The sequence below is a fragment of the Homo sapiens genome, chromosome 7 (genome assembly GCF_000001405.40).
Source record: "Homo sapiens chromosome 7, GRCh38.p14 Primary Assembly".
Taxonomy (NCBI): domain Eukaryota; kingdom Metazoa; phylum Chordata; class Mammalia; order Primates; family Hominidae; genus Homo; species Homo sapiens.
Genome location: NC_000007.14, coordinates 1,994,201 through 2,014,402, shown reverse-complemented (window position 1 = coordinate 2,014,402; position 20,202 = coordinate 1,994,201). Strand labels below are relative to the sequence as shown.

Below are 20,202 nucleotides of genomic sequence, written 5' to 3'. Positions count from 1 at the left end.
CCTCCCCAGTTCCCGGCTGGCAGGTGTCTGTCAGGGAGGGTGTCCACGGGCTGCTTCCTCTGCATGTGGATCCACGTTAATTCTCACGATGGCACCTGCAGCATCCTCCGCTGTCAGGGTGTCTCAGGTGGTCCCAGCCTGCAAGCGGATGACAGAGGGACAGTGCCCCTTTGACTGGTTAGGACCGCCTCATGATGCCTGCCAAAGGGGCACTCAAGGTCCTTCCCCTGTGAGGGGCATCTGCCAAGGAGACCTGGTCTCCGGGTGCTCAGAGTTGTTGCCAGGGCTCTAGTCCCCGCTGCTGGGGAGGCTCTGCTGGGGCCTGACGGGCAGGGTGTGAGGCCCAGGGCGCCCAGCTCCCTGTGGAACTGGGAGAGGTGTTCCTCCTTGTTGCAGCCTCCAGGCTGCATCCCTCTCCTGGCTCCAGGGTTCTCCCAGGAGAGGTGGCCTCAGCCTTGGCTTCTGCCTTTTCCCTGCCCCATGGGCCACCGTGACGCTCCGTGCCCTTGTCTAGCTCTGAGCAGCTCTCACCTGTGCAGTGGGAAGAAGGAGCTGGGTATCGCAGGGCCTGGGCGGAGGCCACGTCCACACTCCCCATCCACACTTCTCATCTACACTGGGGCCGGGGGCTCCTAGCACACCGTTCCCAGCCTGGAGCTTGAAAGGCCCGTGTTCTCCTCTCAGGATTTGCACCACTTCTCCGTGGGCACAGTGCAGCCCCGCCTGGGCGTGGTGGGATACCTGCCAGGGTCTTCTGGCCTCGCTGGCACACGCCGCCGCCGGGTGCCTTACCATTCTGCTCTGCCTGGCCCTTTACCTGACTGCTCAGTCTCATTGTCACCGTATCCTATGGAGTGGGTGCCGTTGTGATCCGAATTTCGCTCACGAGGAAACCCAGGCCTGGGGGCGTCAAGGGACATGCCCAGGTCACCGAGCTGGTGTGTGACACCGCCAGGCCACATCTCAGAGGGCCTGGGCCTGTGGTGTCTGCGAGCACAGCTGAACAGCCGAGCTCTGTGAGCTCTTTGGTCTCAAGGGTCACTGTGTCTGGGCTGGGCCTTGATGGTGGAGACTGCGGTGAGATGGAGATGCAGATGATGGCATCGGTGTGGCCTGTTGCCCTGTTGTAGGCTGCTGTGTCCTTTCCTCATTCAGCCAGTGACCAGCTGGAAGATGACCTGGGTCCCCCGATGGAGAGCCAGCCTCACAGGCGTGACCACAGCCACCTTCCAGCCGGGCTGCTGAGCACACACAGCAGGCTGGGCCGTGTGCCAGGGAAAGTCTGACAGAGCCTCTGGCCCCTGGAGCCGAGCTGCTGGGTAGGGGAGACATTTAATGAACAAACATAATTCATGTGGGATGTTAGGAGGAGCTGAATTTCTGGAGAAAGGATTGTAATGGAGGGTCTCAGGGAGCTGCGCTGCATGGGCGTCCCAGCAGCTGTTCAGGGAAGATGGGAGAAGGAGGTCGCCAAACTACATCTAGAAAGCTGCTTGGCAGATGGTTCAGTGGTTTAGAGGGGGCGTGGGCACAGAGGCTCAGGCACTGGGGATGGCACTTGGCGAGAATGACAGGTCCCAGCCCAGGAGGCCCCAGGCCCAGGGCCCACATGCACTCGCTACCCCTTGCTCACATGGAGGCCACGCCGAAGGGCCCTGGAACTATGCCGTGTCCCCACCTATGGGTGAGCCCTCAACCACCACCACGCTTGACAAGAGTGAACCCTGGGTGTGAGACCACCCTCAGGCACTGGTACTGCCCCCTGGTGTGTTCTTCTGATGCCCTGCCCCCTCTGTCCATCCTCCTTCCTCCCGCTCCTGGCTTTCCTTTCTGTGTCTAGCCATCCCGTGCGTGCAGGGCCTGCTGCGGAGGGCTGCACACTGACCTTCAGTCGTCACGGGAAAGGCTAGCTCCGGCTGTACCTGGGAGCTGTCGTAAACCTAAGTGCGTTAATAGCCATCTCATTGCAACACCCTTGGCTCCCTGTGAAGCATTAATGAAGAGAGATTTGCGGGGAGGGTCTCTGACCCCTTCTGCCGTCCCTGGCGTTTTCCACGTTGAGCGATTTCTCCAGCCTGTGCTTGCCCTCTGCACTGTGATTGGCTCGTCACGGGCCTGGCCGTGGGCACATCCAGAGTCCTGGGTTCTGGTGTTTTGTGTGTTAAGGCGATCAGGGCTGTCAGGGACCTCAGGACTCATTGACCAGATGCTGGCACTGTTTGGGCACCGTGCTTGCCCCCTTGCCGGGCAGCTTGGAGCCTCAGCCCTCACCCTGCTAGTGGGATGTATGTTGCGGACCTTGCCCCTCCCTTCCCATGGTGGGGTGTGGGGGCAGGTTACTCCCCTTCCTGTCTGTCTCCTGGGGTTTCAGGAGAATTAGGCACATAGAAGAGTTGGGCCCAGCAGGGCTAGAGCAGGGTCAGACTCCACCAGCACTGACTAGTCCTCACTGTGGGAGTTCACACGGCTGGTCCTCCCTGAGCCCTCACAGCCTCCTCTGCCCATCCCCCTGGGTACCCTCCAGAAGCAGGCCAGCACCTGCAGTCTCCCCCCAGGACCCCGCTGCACTGGCCTGTCTGTGTTGATGGAGACAGCCACGGTATCGGCTGCTGGCACAGATTCCAGAGAGGTCTTCCAGGCCCCTGGCTGTTCCCTGAGCCTGTGCAGGTGCCACTGCCCTCTGGGGTCTGTGGAGCAGCCACCACCACATCCTGCATGACAGCGTGACCTGATGCCTTGCCTCATCAGAGGGGGCACCTCCGCGTCAGCTCTTTCCTCCCAGGAGCCTGGGAGAGGTGTCCCTGCCTTTCTGCCTCAGCGGGACCAGGTCACCTGCGGAGCCTGTGCCCTGCCTTTCCCTGAAGTGACAGTCGGGTGGGAGGCTGGGGGTGCCGCCAGCTCCTGGGCTGGGTTCCTGCCTCAGGGGAGCATCTGCTGGGGGCTCCCCACCTCCTCATGGATGTGGCGCAAGTTCGGGAGAACGTGGCCCCAACTCTGGGAACTAAGCATGTTTGCAAGGTGAAGGCGGGGGCCCAGCAGGAGTGCTATGCTCCAGGGAAGGTTGGGGCGCGGCTGCACATGAAGTGTGGCAAGGGTGGCTGCACCCTCTGTGCACAGGGAGCCCCTGGGGCAGGGACGCCAGCCCAAGCCAGGGATGCCCCCGTGGAGGGCCAAGGGGCTGCTCTGGAGACCCTGCACATGCCGCGTGTCTCTGGCTGTTGGTTTCTGTGAAGGGCCCGTCTCCTCTTCTCCTCACGGTCGGGGGGTGGGGGGCCGCCATCGCCCCAGCCGGGGAGGGCTCCTGACCCCACAGAGCCCAGGTGCTCCCCCCGAACCCCCTGCCTCCCTCTCTCCCTGCTACCTCCACCCGGTTTTTCTTTTCTTTCTGTTTCCCGTCTCCTTTTCCCTTCTTGATTTTCTTTCTGTCCTCTGCACGCATGTCTGATAGTTCCTGTCTCCATCTTTCCCTCTCCCTTGGCCTCTGTTCACCCCTCTGTCCCCCACTCACACTCCTATGTCTTCTGACCTCGGGCCTCGCAAGCCTTCCCTGGAAGCTTGCCCGGCCCTGCGCATGCCCCTGGGGAAGGCGCCTCTCGGGGCAGGTGAGGATCTGCTACCTGACCGCCAGGTGGGCTCGGGGTAGTCGCCAGCGGGAGGATGCAGCATCGCTCTGAGAGTGGTTCCCTTCCACCCACCCGTTAGCTAAACCAGACACCAGTCTGTTCTCATCTGGACCATGTTTTCATTCTAGCAGAGACGTTGCAGGAAAACAGTGTTGAGTTGGGAGAACCCCAGACCCGTCTGGTGAAGTTTTGCCGTCTTGCACGGTGTTATTTATTCCATTTAATAAAGCGGCTGCGGGAGCCCGTAGCATGTGTCAGGAGTCCTCTGTGGATAGAGCTATAAATACGCAGTGCACGCCACCTTGATTCAACACATTGGCCTGATTTGTGTTTCCGATTTATTTAATTAAAAGCGATTACTGCGCTGCTGGCCGTGTGGAGGTGTGTGGAGAATCCCCGTTTCAGGTTGCAGGGACTCTGAAATAGTTCCTAACGATTTAGGCAGAAGTGGCCGTCACGGTGTTTCCGTCTTCCCTTCCTCCCCGTGACCTCCCAGAGGCTCGGGCAGCTCTGCGGGTGCTGTCACTTGGCTGCCGTGGGTGGTTTGGCTCCAGGAGGGCTGGGGAGAGCCTGATCTTCAGGGCCTCGGGTTGTTCACCAGGCCCAATACTTGTGAGTGTGTTGGTGATGTTTCCCTCATTGAAAGAACTTGAGATGACTGTACTGTACGAAGCAGAGATAAAGCCAAAAAAAAAAAAAAAAAAAAAAACCTGTTAAAAATCATGCAGTGAAGAAAAGTGGGCCAAGGGGTTTATGGAAACCACCCTGGAGTCTGGGCTGTGGGAGCCTCTGCTGTGTGGCCACAGGTCCTCAGTGGGAATCGCGAGGTGCTGGCTCCATTCCCAGAACGGGGCGTCTGTGCAGTACAGAACTGCGCTGAGCCGGGCTCCCCGTGACACGCCGGTGCCACCCCCGGCAGCACACACTTAGAGCACCGCTGCCCAGCACAGGAGCTGACGTTGCTGGGCGTGAGGAATAAGCCCAGGGCAGGCTCTGTCCTCTCCACCATGGGAGGACCTGCTGCCACCCTCAGAGCATCCCCCAGGGCCTGGGCGTCCACCCCCTAGCCTTCCTTGCATCAGGGGCTGCAGTGGAGCCCCTGACCGTGCACTGACTGCCTGTTGTGTGCTCTGTGGCCAGCGCTGGGCTCACAGTCATCCTCAGACCTCCACCCACAGGGAGAGCTTCTGTGTACAGCCTCACCCAGGGGCAGGTGCTGGGGCTGTGGCCTGGTTAGCCCTGTGGGGACCCTGTGGTGTGCCGCCTCCTGCTTCTTCACGTTGTGTCACAAGCCACTTGGAGACCTGGCCAGGAAGGTGGAGGCCTGAGCTTCCGTCCCATCCTTTTCCACGTGACCGTGACCATGACCACCGGTGGGGCTGCCTTCCCCTAGCTCCAGCCTTTGTACCGTGTGTGGGGTCTGTGCCTGGTGCCCTCTGGTCCTCCTCAGTCCGGCTGTCCTGTGGCTGCTGGGGTCTGTGGCTGCCTGTCCTAGCCATTTTCTGCCATGTCCTGGCTGGCAGGAGTGTTGGATCACAGGCAGCAACTTCTCACCTCAGGATAAAAATAGCCCGGCTGAGGCCTCTGTGCAGCACCTCGGTGGTGCCAAGGGCGCCAGGGCCCGGGGCTCGTGTCTCAGCACACGTAGCCACCCGGGACACGTGGTCCCACCCGGAAAGAGCTGTGTGTGACCCTTCAGCTGCTTGGGTGGAGGCAGCTCCCTGGTCACTCGGTGCCAGGGTTGCGGGGCCGGGGCGTGGCTGCGCTGGGGGCCTGCTCGTACTGGTTTTCCCGCCATGTGATGAAACCCTCTCCCCACAGCCTCCGCACCCCTCAGTGCTCCCTGGTGTGTGCCCCTGAAGCCTGGCTCCGAGTGGGCTTGGCCTCTCCTGGGGAACCCGAGCACTGCGTCAGGTCGTTTGGGATGGAGCCGTGTTCCTTCCCACCTGAGCTTCCTGCGTGTCTGCGTCTGAGGCTGTTTGGGATGGAGCCGTGTTCCTTCCCCCCCTGAGCTTCCTGCGTGTCTGCGTCTGAGGCTGTTTGGGATGGAGCCGTGTTCCTTCCCACCTGAGCTTCCTGTGTGTCTGCACCCAGCCCGGGGTGGGCTGTGGAGGAGGGGCTGAGGCTGGGGAAGTGCCTGGCCTGCCTGCGAGCAGGCTTGGCATCTGGTGTTCCCAGCCGTCAGCCCAGCCCCCACCCCGGGCCTTGGGAAGCTCTCTCTCCATCCCACCATCTCCGCATCAGAACAGGCTGCACCCTACACTGCCTTGCGGAGCCAACCTGAGCTTGGGGAGCTCTTGTCTCAGAGGTGAGGACGCTGTGGCCAGGGCCTGGGGGCTCCACCCGGTCACCCAGAGAGTGAGAGGTGTCTGTGTCCCCCGAAGGTGACTGGGCAGCCCCACAGTCAGTGCTAAAGTGCACTGTCCAGGGTGTTTCCACAGGGGGTGCTCTGCCGCCCACCCACTGCCTCCATCACAGATGCGGTTTCCTGGAGGAACCCTACCGAGACCAGCCTGGAGTTGCGCTGTCTGAGGCCCTGCGGGAGCTGCTCTCCAGTGCACACACGGGCTGTGCCAGCTCCTCGCCCTTGTGAGTGTGGTTCTCCCCGAGCTCTGGGGATTCCATGTTTTAAAGGCAGCCTTATTGAAATATGATTTATACTCAGTAAAATCCCCCAGCTTTATCTGTATGATTTGATCCATGTTGACCGTCAGTTTCCTGCCACCCCTGGCTCGTAGAGACACCGGTCTGGGGCCTGTGACTGTTGTTTTGGGCTTTCTTGGAACTTCACGTAAACAGAGTCCTGCAGTTGCTGTGTCTGTCATCTCTGACTGAGCACAGAGCTTTTGAGACCCATCAACGTTGTATCAGCAGTTCATTTACTTTTATTACAAAATAATTCTCTATCCTGAGACTCTACCAAAATGGTCTCGTCTGTTCACCCACTGACCAATACCAGGGTGGTTTCCCATTCTTGCCAGCTGGGACAGAGCTGCTGTGAATATCTGCGTGCCAGACTTCCTGTGAATGCAGGTTTTCATTCCTTTGGGCTCTACATCCAGGAGTAGGATTGTGGGGTTTAACTTTTTTTGGCGGGGACAGTGTGGGGACAGAGTCTCGCTCAGTCGCCCGGGCTGGAATGTAGTGGCGTGATCTTGGCTCACTGCAGCCTCCGCTTGCCGGGTTCAAGTGATTCTCCTGCCTTGGTATCCTGAGTAGCTGGGACTACAGGCATGCACCACCACACCCAGCTAATTTTTGTATTTTTAGTAATTTCACCATGTTGGCCAGGCTGGTCTCAAACTCCTGACTTCAGGTGATCCACCCGCCTCGGCCTCCCAAAGTGCTGGGATTCCAGGCGTGAGCCACCGGGCCGGGCCCTAACTTCTTAAGACATTGCCAGGCTCTTCCCAGCGGCCATACCGTGGCAACACGCGGGGTCCAGTGACGCGTTACTGCACAGGCTGTCGGCACCAGAGCTGGGAGAACGCTCCGCTGTGGCACTGTCGGCTTTGGTATCTGGATCCAGCGGGGCAGCAGCACATTTAGCCCTGGCTTCAATCTGTGTGTCTCCAGTGACTGACGTGCCCAGCGTTTCCCGTGCTTCTCCACCTCGGCGCCTCTTCTCTGGTGGCGTCTGTTCAGGTCCCTTCCCTCTGTCTGGTGCTGGCCTGCCAGGCCCAGCTGCCCATCTGTGCCTCCTGGAGTTCCCATTCCTCTCTCCTCACCCAGCAGGCCTGCTGGGCTCTGTCTGTGGCACTGCCCCGGCCTGCGTCCTGGGGGACTCACCCCATCCCCTCCCGCGGCTCTGAGCTCTGAGCTGCCTGCCCTCCCTCGCAGGAATCCCACTGTTCCTTGTGTTGTATCTGGTGTCTGGGGACTGAGGTGGGGGGTGTGTCTGTGCTGGTTCCTACAGCTTGTCCAGAAGGAGAAGTTCTAGCGCATTTTGGAGCCCATGAGAGCCTGTCCCCCAAAGCTTCCTGGTGCCCCATCTGGGAGCCTCCTCTGCGCACACAGAGAGCGTCGTCTTGGGTCTCTCGGGACCCCAATGTCCTGCCTCGCCTCTCCTGTGCTGGGCCGTGCGGGTTTAGTGATGTCCTGTCTCTCCTGTGTTGGGCTGTGTGGGTTTAGTGATGTCCCGTCTCTCCTGTGTTGGGCTGTGCGGGTTTAATGATGTCCTCTCTCTTCTGTGCTGGGCCGTGCGGGTTTAGTGATGTCCCGTCTCTCCTGTGCTGGGCCGTGCGGGTTTCGGTGTTTTCTTTGTTTTTCTTACTTTAGCTGTGTTCTTGGAACAATAAGGTGAGGGAGGAGTGGACGTTTGCCAAATGCTCCTCGGTGCTGGGACTCTGCTGTGAGCTTCTCACACCCTCCCTCCACAGAACCTGGGGAGGCCCAGGACAGGCACGCATTGTGGCTGACACCCCAGGCCACAGCCACCTTCGTTCTCCCAACTCCCTCCTGCCCTGTCCACACCCGCTCCCATGTAAAACATTCTTTTTTGTTACTTGGAAACTTCATGTCTGACCACTTACCCTGTTGGAGCTGCAGACAGCAGTGTGTGTCCTTGAATGGCCACAGGGCCTGCTCGTCTGTGTTCTCTCGGTGTTCCATGGCTCTGTTCTTAGGAGCACCCACACGTGTCTTTTCAGGTTATGAGTGAGAGGTGGCTGAGGTGTCCTGCACCCACAAACCTTGTGCTGTAGAATGTCTATAAGCCAGACCTGAGCTCCCTCCTGCCTCCCTGCCGCTCCCCCATCTCCATGCCCATGGAGCGTGCTCTCCATTTCACACTCCTGGAATTCCGGCCCCTCTGCGTGCTGAGCTTCTGTCTGGTGGCTGCTCTGCTGAGAACCCTCCGCCTGGAGTCACCTCTGACTCAGGGTTGTGCAGTGTCCCATTTGGCCATCCATTTGGGAAGATGCAGCCGGTTACAAACGAACTTTTTTTGTTTTGTTTTACATCTTCGTTTTTGTTTTTTTGACACAGGGTCTCACTCTGTTGCCCAGGCTGAAGTGCAGTGGCCCAGTCATGGCTCACTGCAGCCTCAACCTCTTGGTCTCAAGAGATCCTCCTGCCTCAGCTCCCTGAGTAGCTGGGACCACAGTTGTGTGCTACCACACCCAGCTGATTTTTAAATTTTTTATAGAAACAGGATCTCTGTATGTTGTCCAGGCTGGTCTCGAACTCCTAACCTCAAGCAGTTGTCCTGCCTTGGCCTCCCTAAATGCTGGTGTCACAGGCATGAGCACGGTGCCTGGATGAAACCATTTCTCTTTATGGTAACAGAACCGTCCTTCTTTTCCTCCCTAATTCGTCCCCCAGGGTGCTAGAGTATATGTTTTAATGGAAATATAACACAATACACCAAAGTGCACAGATTGTAAGTTTTCAGCCTGTCGGACGACAGAGCGAGTGTGTGTGTAACCCCCCTAATGCAGGCGAAGACACAGAACTTCCTGGGTCACACAGGACCCCGTGGATGTCTCTTTGCAGTCTGAGTGACACCTGTGTGTTCAGTCTTCAGTGAAAGGTGGCTCTCACTGTCTGTAAGCCGTCTGTCTTCATGGCTGGATGGCTCCTGTGATGCCCTCTGCTGTCCTGGTCGCCTCCTGGGGAGCACTCAGCTCGTCGATGTCTGCCTTCTTGAACCCAGGGCCCTGCGTGTGAGCCGAGCCATAGCTGCTCCTGCTGACGTGCGGTCGTCCTCCTGGCCGCATCCCGGGGCTGCACTCTCACGGGAGCTGCTCCAAGCAGGCCCTGCCCAGGTACCCGAGACCAGTGCGCGAGTCTGAGTTCAGGGCTCCTTGGCTCCGAGTCACCTTTCGCCAGCGACTGTGGCTTTGAGGATGTATCAGAAATCTCACTGGTGTCTGTGTTTCCAGGCCCTGGGTCATGTGAGGATTTCAGATGCATGCGTTCTGTTTTTTCCAGCCATCGATGGAAGTGCTAGGCTGAATGGGGCTGGTACGGAGGTGGACGCCTCGGCCTCAGGCTGATGAGCCGCTTGTGAATGAACTTGTCTTCAGACACACATCACTCAGTGCTGTCCTCACAGAAACCTGATGAAGCCTTCGGAAAATGCCTGCAGCCTGCCCGCGTGGCGCCGGAGGCTGTGAAGGCTGAGGCTGCTGTGGCCTGCCTGGCCTCGGCAGGACCCTGGGCTGGCCACCGTGGTCACGGCTCCACCCTGCAGTGATTCTGTGTCGGGAGGCACAGGAGAGCGTGGTTGGTCCGGGCCTCGCGCACAGCTCTCAGCCCTGCTGCTTCCGGACGACCCTGCCTCTTCTAAGCTGCTCCTGTAAAGTGCCTTTGACCTTGCAAGGTTGCCATGTGAACTGATGTAAATGGGGATGACGATGTGCCTCACCTGTAGCTGTCACCTGAGGCCGGTGCCCATCGTGCCAGCCGCCTGTGTGCCCAGGACAGTGTGCCGGGTGTGGCGGACATGGACGGGCTGCCAGGGGTGTGGGTGGCTCTAACGGGTGCATCTCGCTGCCCAGGCCAGCTCAGAGCTTTGCCAGGGGTGCGGGCAGCTCTCATGGGTGCGTCTCACTGCCCAGGCCACCTCAGAGCCTTGTTGTCGTCCCCCCTGTTTGGGCTGCTCTCTGGCCTGGTGGCCTGTGGGTGCTGGTAGACCTGGGCGGGGTGTAGGGCTGCGTGAGGAGAGCCTGAGTGTGGACTGCAGCTGCCTCCCATGTGCTGAGGCTCTGCCCAGGGGCATGGGGTGCCCTGGATGCCCCGACCCGGCTCCCTGTGCCCCCGGGAGTGCCCAGGGCTGCAGCTCGGTGAAGTGCGTTGTGTCTAGGCCCAGTTTGGGGGATGTCCCTCTTCCATCTGCCGTTCCCAGTCCCAGCTGCTGGTGACCCCAGCAGTGGCCGGATTATCCAGGGTTCAGCTGGCTGTGAGGAGGGCAGTGTGCTGCTCCTAGGCCTCGAGGCACCAAGCTTTCCAGTGTGGGGTCCACACAGCCCAGCGTGGCCACGGCCACCTGCCTCCTGATGACAGTGGCTAGGCTGGCTCCAGGGCCTCCCCCAGGGCAGTGTGAGGGCAGCAGGCGGGGCTGGTCATGGGCAGAGCTCAAGGCCTTCCCCTCATCCACAGGCGTTGCACAGGGGTGTTGGGCAATGGGGGTCCCTCCGGTGGCCCCACTGAGTGAGGCCCCACACCAGAGGCTTGGGAGGCTCAGGTGCTCACACCTGCAGCCTCCACGGGAGCACCTGGAGCCTGGGTTTGACTCTGCTGTGGCGTCCAGAACCAGCAGGCACCAGGATAGCCCGTGGGAAGTCCAGAGCCTGGCTCTGGCTGGGCCTGTAGGGGAGCTTGGGGGCCCATGGTCTGCAGAGCGGACAGGTTGAGGACTGTGGGCTGTTGCCTCAGCCACTTTCCCCAGGCTGTGTCCCCAGGGGCTGTAGTGCCTTGTTTTCTGTGTCTCCAAACATACTTCCCCCATCCCCACCACATGTGCACATGCCACACACAGGTGTGCATATACATACCCACACTTGTGTACACGCACATACACACGCCTCCCCGCCTCTCTCCCGTTTCTCCTGGTGACTTGCCTGGTGGTTTCCAGTTGCCGCTGGGCCAGGCATCTGCCTGCCTCTCGATTTCTCCCTCACCCTCAGGCCTGCTGGGCCTCCACCCCGCAGATCCCACACCCCACCACAGCCACCTGCCTCACTCCTGGGCTGGCCCTCCATCTCCTTCCCGGACTTTCCTGTGTGCTGTGGCCTGGGGGGGTCTCACAAGGCCCCCTGCCTCGCCCTTCCTCCCAGGTTCTAGGACAGAGCCGCAATGTGTTTAGGTGGTGGGGGCAGTGGGGAGCCAAGCGGGGTCGTGGGAAGGAGTCAGGAAGGGGCAGAGGGAGAGGATGTGGGGGAAGGTAGGAACCGCAGGGGCAGAGGCCCAGGGCGGGGGTCTCCGAGGTCCTGAGCCCCATGCACCGTGCAGGTCATGGGTGCAGGGTCACTGTCCCCAGCAGGGAGCTGGACTGCTGACATCCTGGCCCCACAACCAGACCCAGCCTTGCTGCTCCATGAGGCCTGTTAGGAGGAGGCGGCTGGCTTTTCATTGCTGGCTTTTCTACCCTTAGTGTGGGGTCAAGCCTGGTGCCCTTTGGGGAGTGTGTCGGGGCAGGAGACCCTTCCTGCCTGGGTCGGGGTCCTGCTTGGGGGTGGCCGTGGTGGAGGAGATGCTCTGAGGTGGGGCCTCTGCCTGGAAGGTCACCTGATTCTGTTCTTTAAGCACGAGCCTGCCAGGGAGAGTGAATTGATTTCCTCTGACTGAAAGTCCCATGCTGAACCTTTCCCTCCGTCTCTCCCCAGTTCCACAGTCCCTCTTGGGCCCACCCCTGTCCACCCCATTCACAGTCAGTTTCCTGAGGCAGGTTTTAGGAATGGACCTTGGTTCTGTGAAGCCTCCCGCAGCCCACTCGGTCTTCGTCTCCATCAGTTGTCTCCATCACTGGGCTCTCGGCCTCGCGGGGCAGCCACACTGGCCCCTGCCCACCCTCTGGCTGCCCACTTCCCAGCTCCTGGGTCCCGTTGCTCCCCAGAGAGTGGAGGCTGCGGGGTGGTGGGGGTTGTGTTCCCTGCAGTCCTAGAAATGGGGCCTGGCCCACCACAGTCTCAGGCCGAATCCTGTCTTGTCTTGCAGGCTCAGCTGTCGCAGGCCCTGGAGGAGCTGGGAGGCCAGAAACAAAGAGCAGACATGGTGAGTCAGACGCGGGAGTGGCTGGGATTCAGGGCACCTGGACCCTGGGTCTGGGCAGGGACGCCTGTCCCCATAAGCCTTTAGGCTGCAGGCGCCAGTGCATGGCTGCCTCTTCTGTCGTCGGAAGCTGCGTTGAGCGGGGAAGGGTGTGTGAGGAGCCTGAGTCCCATCTCTACTAGTGACAGGTGGCATGCGCCGGCGGGGAGCACAGCCCCTCGGGCCCCACCACCGTGTTTGTGGCAGGGGGCCAGTGACATGTTTGCCGCATGAGGCCACGGTGTCGGGGCAAAGCAGGTGTGAGAGCCTACGAGGGGTCTGTCCAGCAGCGAACTGGACATCAGTGCTGTGGCTTCATGGACCCCTGTCCCGACCACACAGGACCCGAGTCCCCAGTGGGACAGTGCCTCAGCCGGGGCTTGGGCGCCACTCAGCATGGGTCCTGACCAGGAGAGGGACGTCTCTAGTGAGTGCTTATCTGCCCTCTGTGAATGCAGCAGGCGTGCTTTTAAGCTGTTTTCTCCTCAGCCCACATGGGCCCCACTCTCCTGGCTGCCTCCGAGCCTGGGTGGGGGGCCCGCAGTGTGGGCCCGTGGGGGACCAGGCAGGCTCTCCTGGTTTCTGGACCTCCAGTGTCAAAAGCTTCCCACTGTTTTAGGGAACAAATGGGCTTTGCTTTTGAAGCGTTTTGGCCTAAACAAAGTGTAGGTTCCCTCCATGCTGCCCTGGCCTTGGCCATGTCTGTGAAGGACAAGGACGGCCCTGGGGCATGCGTGCGTGCGTGTGTCTGCATGTTCTGCCCTGGGCCATGCGTCAGGCTGGCCTGGGTCACAGGCAGAGCTGCTGTCGGCGTTGTACGGACCCCAGGGCCTGCAGCCCAGGTCGAGGCTCCCGTCGGGCATCCTTGCTTGCCAGCTCGTGACTGTGAGCCGGTGTCCTGGCTCTCAGGGCCTCAGGGCCTTCCTCTCCACCCGGCAGGGGTGTGCTGAGGGTTCATTGCTTGACAGGCTCTGGGGCTGGCAGCACAGCCTGTGGCGGTTGTGGGTGCGGCCATGGTTACAGGCCCTTCTCATGGGACAGGGTTGGATGGGGTTGGAAATCACCGTCTTGAGAGGTACGGGCACCAGGGCCTAGGCTGGGAATGGGCGAGGGCTGTCTGCAGACCCTGGAAGAAGCTGCCCAGCGGCGCAGAGAGGCAACAGCAGGGCACCGCGCGGGTCTGGGCAGAGCTGGCATCTGCAGGACCAAGGCCAGGTGGGCTGGCAACAGCTGTCCTGAGCCTCTGGAATGGTCGCTGTTCACTCAGCAGCTGCTTAAGGACATTCTTCTTGGTGCTGGGGACGCGGCAGCCAGCAACACAGGCTCCTGCCCTCCTGGAGGCACACTGTTGCCAAGTGAGTAGTCAGTGGCCCATAGGAGAGTGAAAGACAGAACTTCCGGTGGTGGCGAATGGAGGAGCCGCATTCTCCCGGGGCCGCTCTGCAGAGCGTCCTGAGCCAAGCCTGGGGGACCCGACTGTTGGTGGTGGAAATGGTGGGGCAGGCAGGTCCCGGACCCAACAGTGAGGTTAGGGGTGACAGAAGCGGGGTCCGCGGTGGTTGGTAGTCCAACCTTGTGGGCCCTGTGTGGTCACGGCAGGGCTGTGGTTTCATGGGTGGAGGAGGTGGTGACACAACCTGGTGTCCATTCGTAAAGGATGCCTGGCTGCTCTGTGCAGGGCCGCAATGGGTGGGAAGTGGCAGGCCGGGGTGGGAGACGCAGGTGCCCTGGGCTAGGACTGCAATGGCGTGCGGAGGCGTGGTCCGAGTCCGCTGCGTTGAAGGGAGATGCAGGTGAGGTAGAGAGCGTGAGGGCTGGGAATCAAGGACGGCTTCGGCATTCCGCCCCGGGTGGGCTCATGGTATGGGGTGGGGAGATTGAGGGTGAAGTGTGGGAGTCTCACGCCTGCCACACGTTGGATGCACAGGGCTGGAGGCTTTGAGTCGGTGCCCTGGGGTCAGAGGTGCCCATCTGCTCTGCATGGTGTTTCTGTTGTTGGGAATGAGTAGGTAGCAGAGAAGTCAGAACTGGAGGCTCAAGCCTCTTTGGGGCATTCCAGCATCCTGGCATCTAGTCTTGGGGAGCAGCCATGAGTTGGGGTACTCCGTGGAGGGCAGGTGCAGTCACAGAGCCCTGGAGAAGGAAGTGTTTTCAGGGGACAGTCAGACTGCAGAGAAGACCCGGAAGGGGAGCAGAGGATTGCCCTGGGCCCTGCGGCCGGCGTTTCATTGATGAGAGGAGAGGCCCAGAAGGGCCTGGTCAGGGGCTGGGCCTGGAGCCGGGAGGGAAGATTCGCTTTACCGATGGGCAGTGGGAGAGCGGTTTATGCTGAAGGGAGCCTTACTGTAGTGACGGGCATGATGTAGGGCTGGGGCAGTGGAGGGGCATCGAAAGGGGCTGGGGCCAGCAGGTTGCTGGAGCTTCCTGTCTCCTCCTGAAGTGGGCATGAGGCGCACTGGCCTGTGAGGGTCCCCGCAGTCCCGCTGAGGTTTGTGGTGTAAACTTGGAGCCAGGTTGGGCGTCAGGCTTCTGTCTGCCACGCTCAGGTGCTTCCCAGCAGACACAGTCATGGGGAATGGGGTTTACCAGGGCGGGTTTGCCAGGGGAGCGCAGTGGAGGGAGGGAGGCGGAGATGTGACGCTTTGCTCAGCGGAGGGAAAATCAGGCTGTTGGGGGCTCCAGGACAGGCCTTTCTCAGGTCTGGGTTTTAAAATTGGAGAAATTGGAGTATCAACCATGTTTTTCTTTAGGCTGTAGAAATACTGGGGGGTGGGGTTGTTGTTTTGTTTATTTTCCTCTCTGTGTTCTGCTGTGACCTTTCATTGCTGATGTAGTTTGCAGGGGAACCCATTGTAACTGTATTGTTTAATGGCAGGTCTGAGACTCGGTTTCCATTCCTCTGCCCTCATCTGAGATGGCTCAGGGCAGGCCTGAAAGATGCTCCTGCTTCAGTGAGCGGGTTAGTGGGGACTCTGTGGAGTGTGGGGTCTGGTGTCCAGCAGTGTGTGGGGTTAGGGGGCTCTGTGGACTGTGGGGTCTGTGGACTGTGGGGTCTGGTGTCCAGCAGTGAGTGGGGTTAGGGGACTCTGTGGACTGTGGGGTCTGTGGACTGTGGGGTCTGGTGTCCAGCAGTGAGTGGGGTTAGGGGACTCTGTGGACTGTGGGGTCTGGTGTCCAGCAGTGAGTGGGGTTAGGGGGTCTGTGGACTGTGGGGTCTGGTTCCCCTGAGTGCAGGTGTTCAGGAAGGATGCCAGGGTCCTCTTCTGCCTGTGTGGGGGCTTGGCGGGGGGTTGGCAGGGGGTTGGTGGGGGACACACCCAGAGCCTTCCTAGTTCCCAGCCCTGAGGGCTGTCGGTGCTTCCTTCTCAGTGACTGAGCTTTCTGGACCCTTCAGTGAGGACCCTTTTCCTGTTGCCTCTGGAACAGCCTGGGGTGGGTGGAGGGATGCTCCCATCTGAAGATGCCCTGTGGAGACCCTGGTGTTCTGTGTGTCAACACGCTGGCTGCCTCACTGTTGGCCTGAATTGAAACGTGCCTGGGGGCCATGCTTCTGCATGTGCAGGAGGCCAGGAGGGTTAGAAATGGAGTTGTCTGAGCACAGGCCAAGCCCTCGGCATTATGGCTGAGCCACCTGCCCGGCACCTGCAGCTGCCCTGGAGCATGGACTCCCCATGTCCAACAGAGGCACGGACGCCTCGGAGCTGGCATCTTGACCCGGGCATCGGCCCTTGTCTGGCTGCAGGTGGTTTTGGAGGAGCTGCTCACTCCAGTCCTCTTTTGTGGGGAGAGAGACAGAAACTGGTCTTGGGCCCTCAGGTGGGGTGGGTGTGGCCGCCCCTGGAGTGCTGGCTTCTCCAGATATCTGGTTCTGGTCAGGGGGCTGTGAGGTGCGCTTGGTGCAGCGCTGGGCTGGAGGTTTGGCTGCTTTTCAACCTGTGTTTTTTCTCTTTTTTAGCCCATATAATTTCTGTTCCTTATTCATCGTACGCAGCACCGTTTAAGCGCTAATGCCTGGGCCCCAAGCTGCAGCATTTGACTTCGAATTTGGTGGGAGGATTGCCCCCAAGCAGAATCATGATTTTACCCCTCCCTGGGTTGAGCTCCTGTTCCTGGCCCCGTCCTTTGTTTGGAGCCGCAGGGCTCCCGAGGGACGAGAGGAGGGGTCTCGCTGGCTGTGTGCCCCTCTTGCCATGCAAAGCCCTTCAGAGGAGGTCCTGGGGAGAGCAGTGCCAGGCAAGGGGGCTACAGACACCGTGGTTGGGGCTGGCCCCTGCCAGGCATGCCTGAAGGCCAGTGGCCTCCCTCCCCTGCCCCCCGCCACCGCACTGGGCTGTGCAGCCCTGGGCTCCAGGTTGCCCCTTCTCTGTGTGACCCAGAGCCCTCAGTGTCATGGCTTCTTCCCGGGGGTTACAGGTGCATGTTCCTGTCTGAAGGGGGTCTCTGGGCTGCGGGACAGCCTGACTCCCTTTTCATTTTATGGTGGAGGAACCTGAGCGGGAGCTCGCCCTGAGCTGGGATGGCTGGAGTCACCCAGGTCTGGCTCTGAGGCCCCTCCCACCCAGTTCCCTGTGACTGGCTCGGCAGTGGGTGCTGTCTGGGGAAGGGGCTCCCTTGTCCCTGGAAAGGCTGGGGCCTAGGTGGTCTGCACCCTCAGGGCTTGTGTGGAGAAGCCACATTCTAGGCAGGGCTGACTGTGTCACTCACGCCTTCTGTCCACAGTGGTCTGGGACATGGCCCTAGTGCCCGTCCCGTCTCCCAGCCTGCAGCTCCTTTACCTGCTATTTTCCAACCCAAAGTCATTTTGTTATTTAGGAAATGAGAAAAGAGAGAAAAAAGAAAAATTTAAATCTTTAGTTAATTGCCAATGACAAGACAAAGGCACTCTGACTTTCTTATTATTAATTAGCAAACCCGTACTAATTAGTAAGCATAAGTACAATTCATGTTTTTTTCTTTAAATGCAATTAATATCGCAAGGAGAGATTTCCTGGGCCATCGTCGTATCATTAGCGAACCCCCCTAATTAGCTAGGCCCGCAGTGGCTGGAGATGGGAGTCTTTTGATTACAGCTCTAAAATATCCTCTAATATTTTATAGACTTTGGGGAGTGAGGAGTGAAGCTTTATTTTCCGATTCAGAGGGAATTACGCCGCTCTCAGCTCTAAAATATCCTCTAATATTTTATAGACTTTGGGGAGTGAGGAGTGAAGCTTTATTTTCCGATTCAGAGGGAATTACGCCGCTCTCAGCTCTGATTAAGCAGCATCTTCCTTGATTGCTGATTTCCCTTTGTGGCCCCTCTGTGCCTGCTCCTTGCTCCCAGGGGCACCCTGTGCCAAGTCTGCCTCACCAAGGGCCGTGGCTACAGCAGCACTGAGGCCCGGACAGGCTGCTTCCCGTCCCCCACCCTTCTTTGTCCATCTCTGAAATGGGAAGGGTGTCGAGGCCCACTCTGAGTCGGGCCTAGCGGCAGGTGCTTTACAGACAGATTCTGAAATCTGGCGACCGTGAGCAGGGCAGGTCCCGTGGGCCCATGAAGAAGCTCTAGGCTCTCTGGGGTCTCCTGTGCAGGAGCCTGTGGTCCGTGTGGCTCTCAGAGCCTCTGGCTTCTCATGGGAGGCTGAGGACACCGGCGGAGCTTCCCTGAAGAGACTCCCAGTGAGGCATGTGTAGACCCGGGGGACCCTGCCCGCCCAGCAGCCGTGTGTAGACCCGGGGGGACCCTGCCCGCCCAGCAGCCGTGTGTAGACCCGGGGGGACCCTGCCCGCCCAGGAGCCGTGTGTAGACCCGGGGGGACCCTGCCCGCCCAGGAGCCGTGTGTAGACCCGGGGGGACCCTGCCCGCCCAGCAGCCGTGTGTAGACCCGGGGGACCCTGCATGCCCAGGAGCTGTGTGTAGACCGGCAGGGCCCGGCACACACGGGAGGCGTGGCTGGTGCCTCTATCTTCACTGGTGCTGCTACTGAAGATGGACCAGGCAGCTGTGAGCCCCTCGTCAGTGCTGGTCCTCATGGCTGTGCCCAGCCCGGAATCTGTCTGGTCACATCCAGCAGCATGGCCAGTGCCTGCAGATGAATGATCATGAGAGCCTCCTGGTGTGGTAACTGACAGTACCTCATTTCACCTTCCGGACCCATCCTGCTCCACGACGAAGTGCTACTTCTGACTGGAGTGCTTCGTGCTTGGCATGCTGGAGGGGCTTGCTGCTGGCACCGGGGTTCTGTATGGCTGGTGGCACCGGGGTTCTGTATGGCTGCTGGCAGCCTCCTGGTCCCTGGAAACCTGTTCAGTTCACGCTGCACCAGCATGTATGTCCCCGCGCGCGCTGGTGTGCAGGTGTCCTGAGCTTGGAGAGGCTCTTTGGGGCCAGGGATGTGTCTGGGGCAGGTCTGGGGAATGGCTCAAAGTCTGAGACTGTGTCCTTAGCTCACTCTCCTCCTCTCCAGCCCTGGAGGCGGCCTCTCCTGGGCCCCCCGCCTGGGGCTCCTGCGCCCGCCCTTCCATCCCACACAACTGGTCCCTTCCCTCAGCCACACCTGTCACCTCTCTTGCTGTGTGGCCACAGGCAGGTGCTTCACTGCCTGGTCCTCAGGGTGGAGAGAGGAAGCGGGGAGCCTCCCTGGAGTCTCACAAAGCTAAGTGAGTTCGTGTGCTGGGAAGATCCAGGCTGTTCTGGGAAGTGATTCTGGGTGAGAACAGGGGCCTGATCTTCCTCAGCAGCCCCGGGGCTGGTTCCAGGCTCGCTGCCCGTTCACCAGCTCAGGTTTCCCTGCGTCCAGCCTCATCCTCAGTGCGTGCCCCGAGGTGCCCCCCGAGGCTTCTCCACAGAGTGGAAGGAATCGTGCTGGCCACAGCAGGTGTCACATGGAGCAACCTTTGCTTTAAATGCCTCTTGCATTGGAGGGAAGTTGTCTAATTCAGCAAGCATTTGTTGAGTGCCTCTTCTAGGCTGTTGTCTGAGGGAACAGAGACCCTGTGGCTGCGCATCTGTCTATTCAGCTGCCCTAACAGGAACACCGCAGACTGGGCTGCTTAAAGTAGCAGATGTTGGCCGGGCGTGGTGGCTTACGCCTGTAATCCCAGCACTTTGGGAAGCTGGGGTGGGTGGAAATCTTGAGCCCAGGAGTTCGAGACTGGCCTGGGCAACAGAGTGAGACCTCGTCTCTGTTTAAAAAAATAAAATAAAACAAAACCCTTGCAGACATTTGTTGCTCACGGTTCTGCAGGCTGGAAGTCCAGGATCAGGAACTGGCCGGTCTGGTGTTTGCTGAGGCTTCCTGGTTCCAGATGGCGCCCTCTCACTGTGTCCTCACACGGTGGGAGGGGCGAGGGAGCTCTGGGGTCCCTTTTATGAGGGTGCTAATCCCCCCCCCGAGGCTCCGCCCGGTGGCCTCCTCACCTCCCCGGGCTCCCTCCTAGGATTTCAGCATGAGAGCGGGAGCACACAGTCCATGGCATGGGCCCACCTCCTTCCTGCTGTGTGAGACCCGGTGGGCGCTCACTGCCCTGCCCAGTCCTCCTACTGGGGGGTCTCTGCCTGGTCCCTCAGTGCCCGATGGGCCTGCCCTGCCTACGGTGATGTCCCCACCCTCTGAGCACATCTTCTCACGCCCTTCCAAGCAATCCCTGTGCTGCTCCCCCTCTGAGGATGTCTTTTCAGTTCAGCGGAGCCTCAGGCCCCCTGGGAATTGAGCTGGACCCGTGCTGCTGCCCCTGCATCGCAGACACGCTCTTCCCTCCCTGCCTTCACGGGGCCTGCACCTTCACCATCACCGCCACCATCGTCCCTGTGCTGCCCTGGGTGTGGCGGTGGCACGTGCAAAGCCAG

The 20,202-nt window shown here is 60.1% G+C and overlaps 1 protein-coding gene across 5 annotated transcripts in view, besides 2 other annotated features; it reads left to right on the top strand.

The window, feature by feature from the left end:
* The window catches only part of MAD1L1 (mitotic arrest deficient 1 like 1), a 417,151-nt gene that overhangs the window by 218,543 nt on the left and 178,406 nt on the right, over window positions 1-20,202 (top strand). For all 5 annotated transcript variants that reach the window (NM_001304524.2, NM_001304523.2, NM_001013837.2 and 2 more), the window contains one exon: window positions 12,282-12,338. In NM_001304524.2, the coding sequence (NP_001291453.1) occupies window positions 12,282-12,338 (57 nt within the window). The remainder of the gene's footprint in view (window positions 1-12,281; window positions 12,339-20,202) is intronic.
* Window positions 11,827-12,815: an enhancer, noted in NCBI's record as "H3K4me1 hESC enhancer chr7:2041223-2042211 (GRCh37/hg19 assembly coordinates)". NCBI's record gives its function as "activates a minimal SCP1, AML or CMV promoter by ChIP-STARR-seq in primed H9 embryonic stem cells {active_cell/tissue: H9 hESC(primed)}" and the evidence as "EXISTENCE:reporter gene assay evidence [ECO:0000049][PMID:30033119]".
* Window positions 15,614-16,335: an enhancer, noted in NCBI's record as "H3K4me1 hESC enhancer chr7:2037703-2038424 (GRCh37/hg19 assembly coordinates)". NCBI's record gives its function as "activates a minimal SCP1, AML or CMV promoter by ChIP-STARR-seq in naive H9 embryonic stem cells {active_cell/tissue: H9 hESC(naive)}" and the evidence as "EXISTENCE:reporter gene assay evidence [ECO:0000049][PMID:30033119]".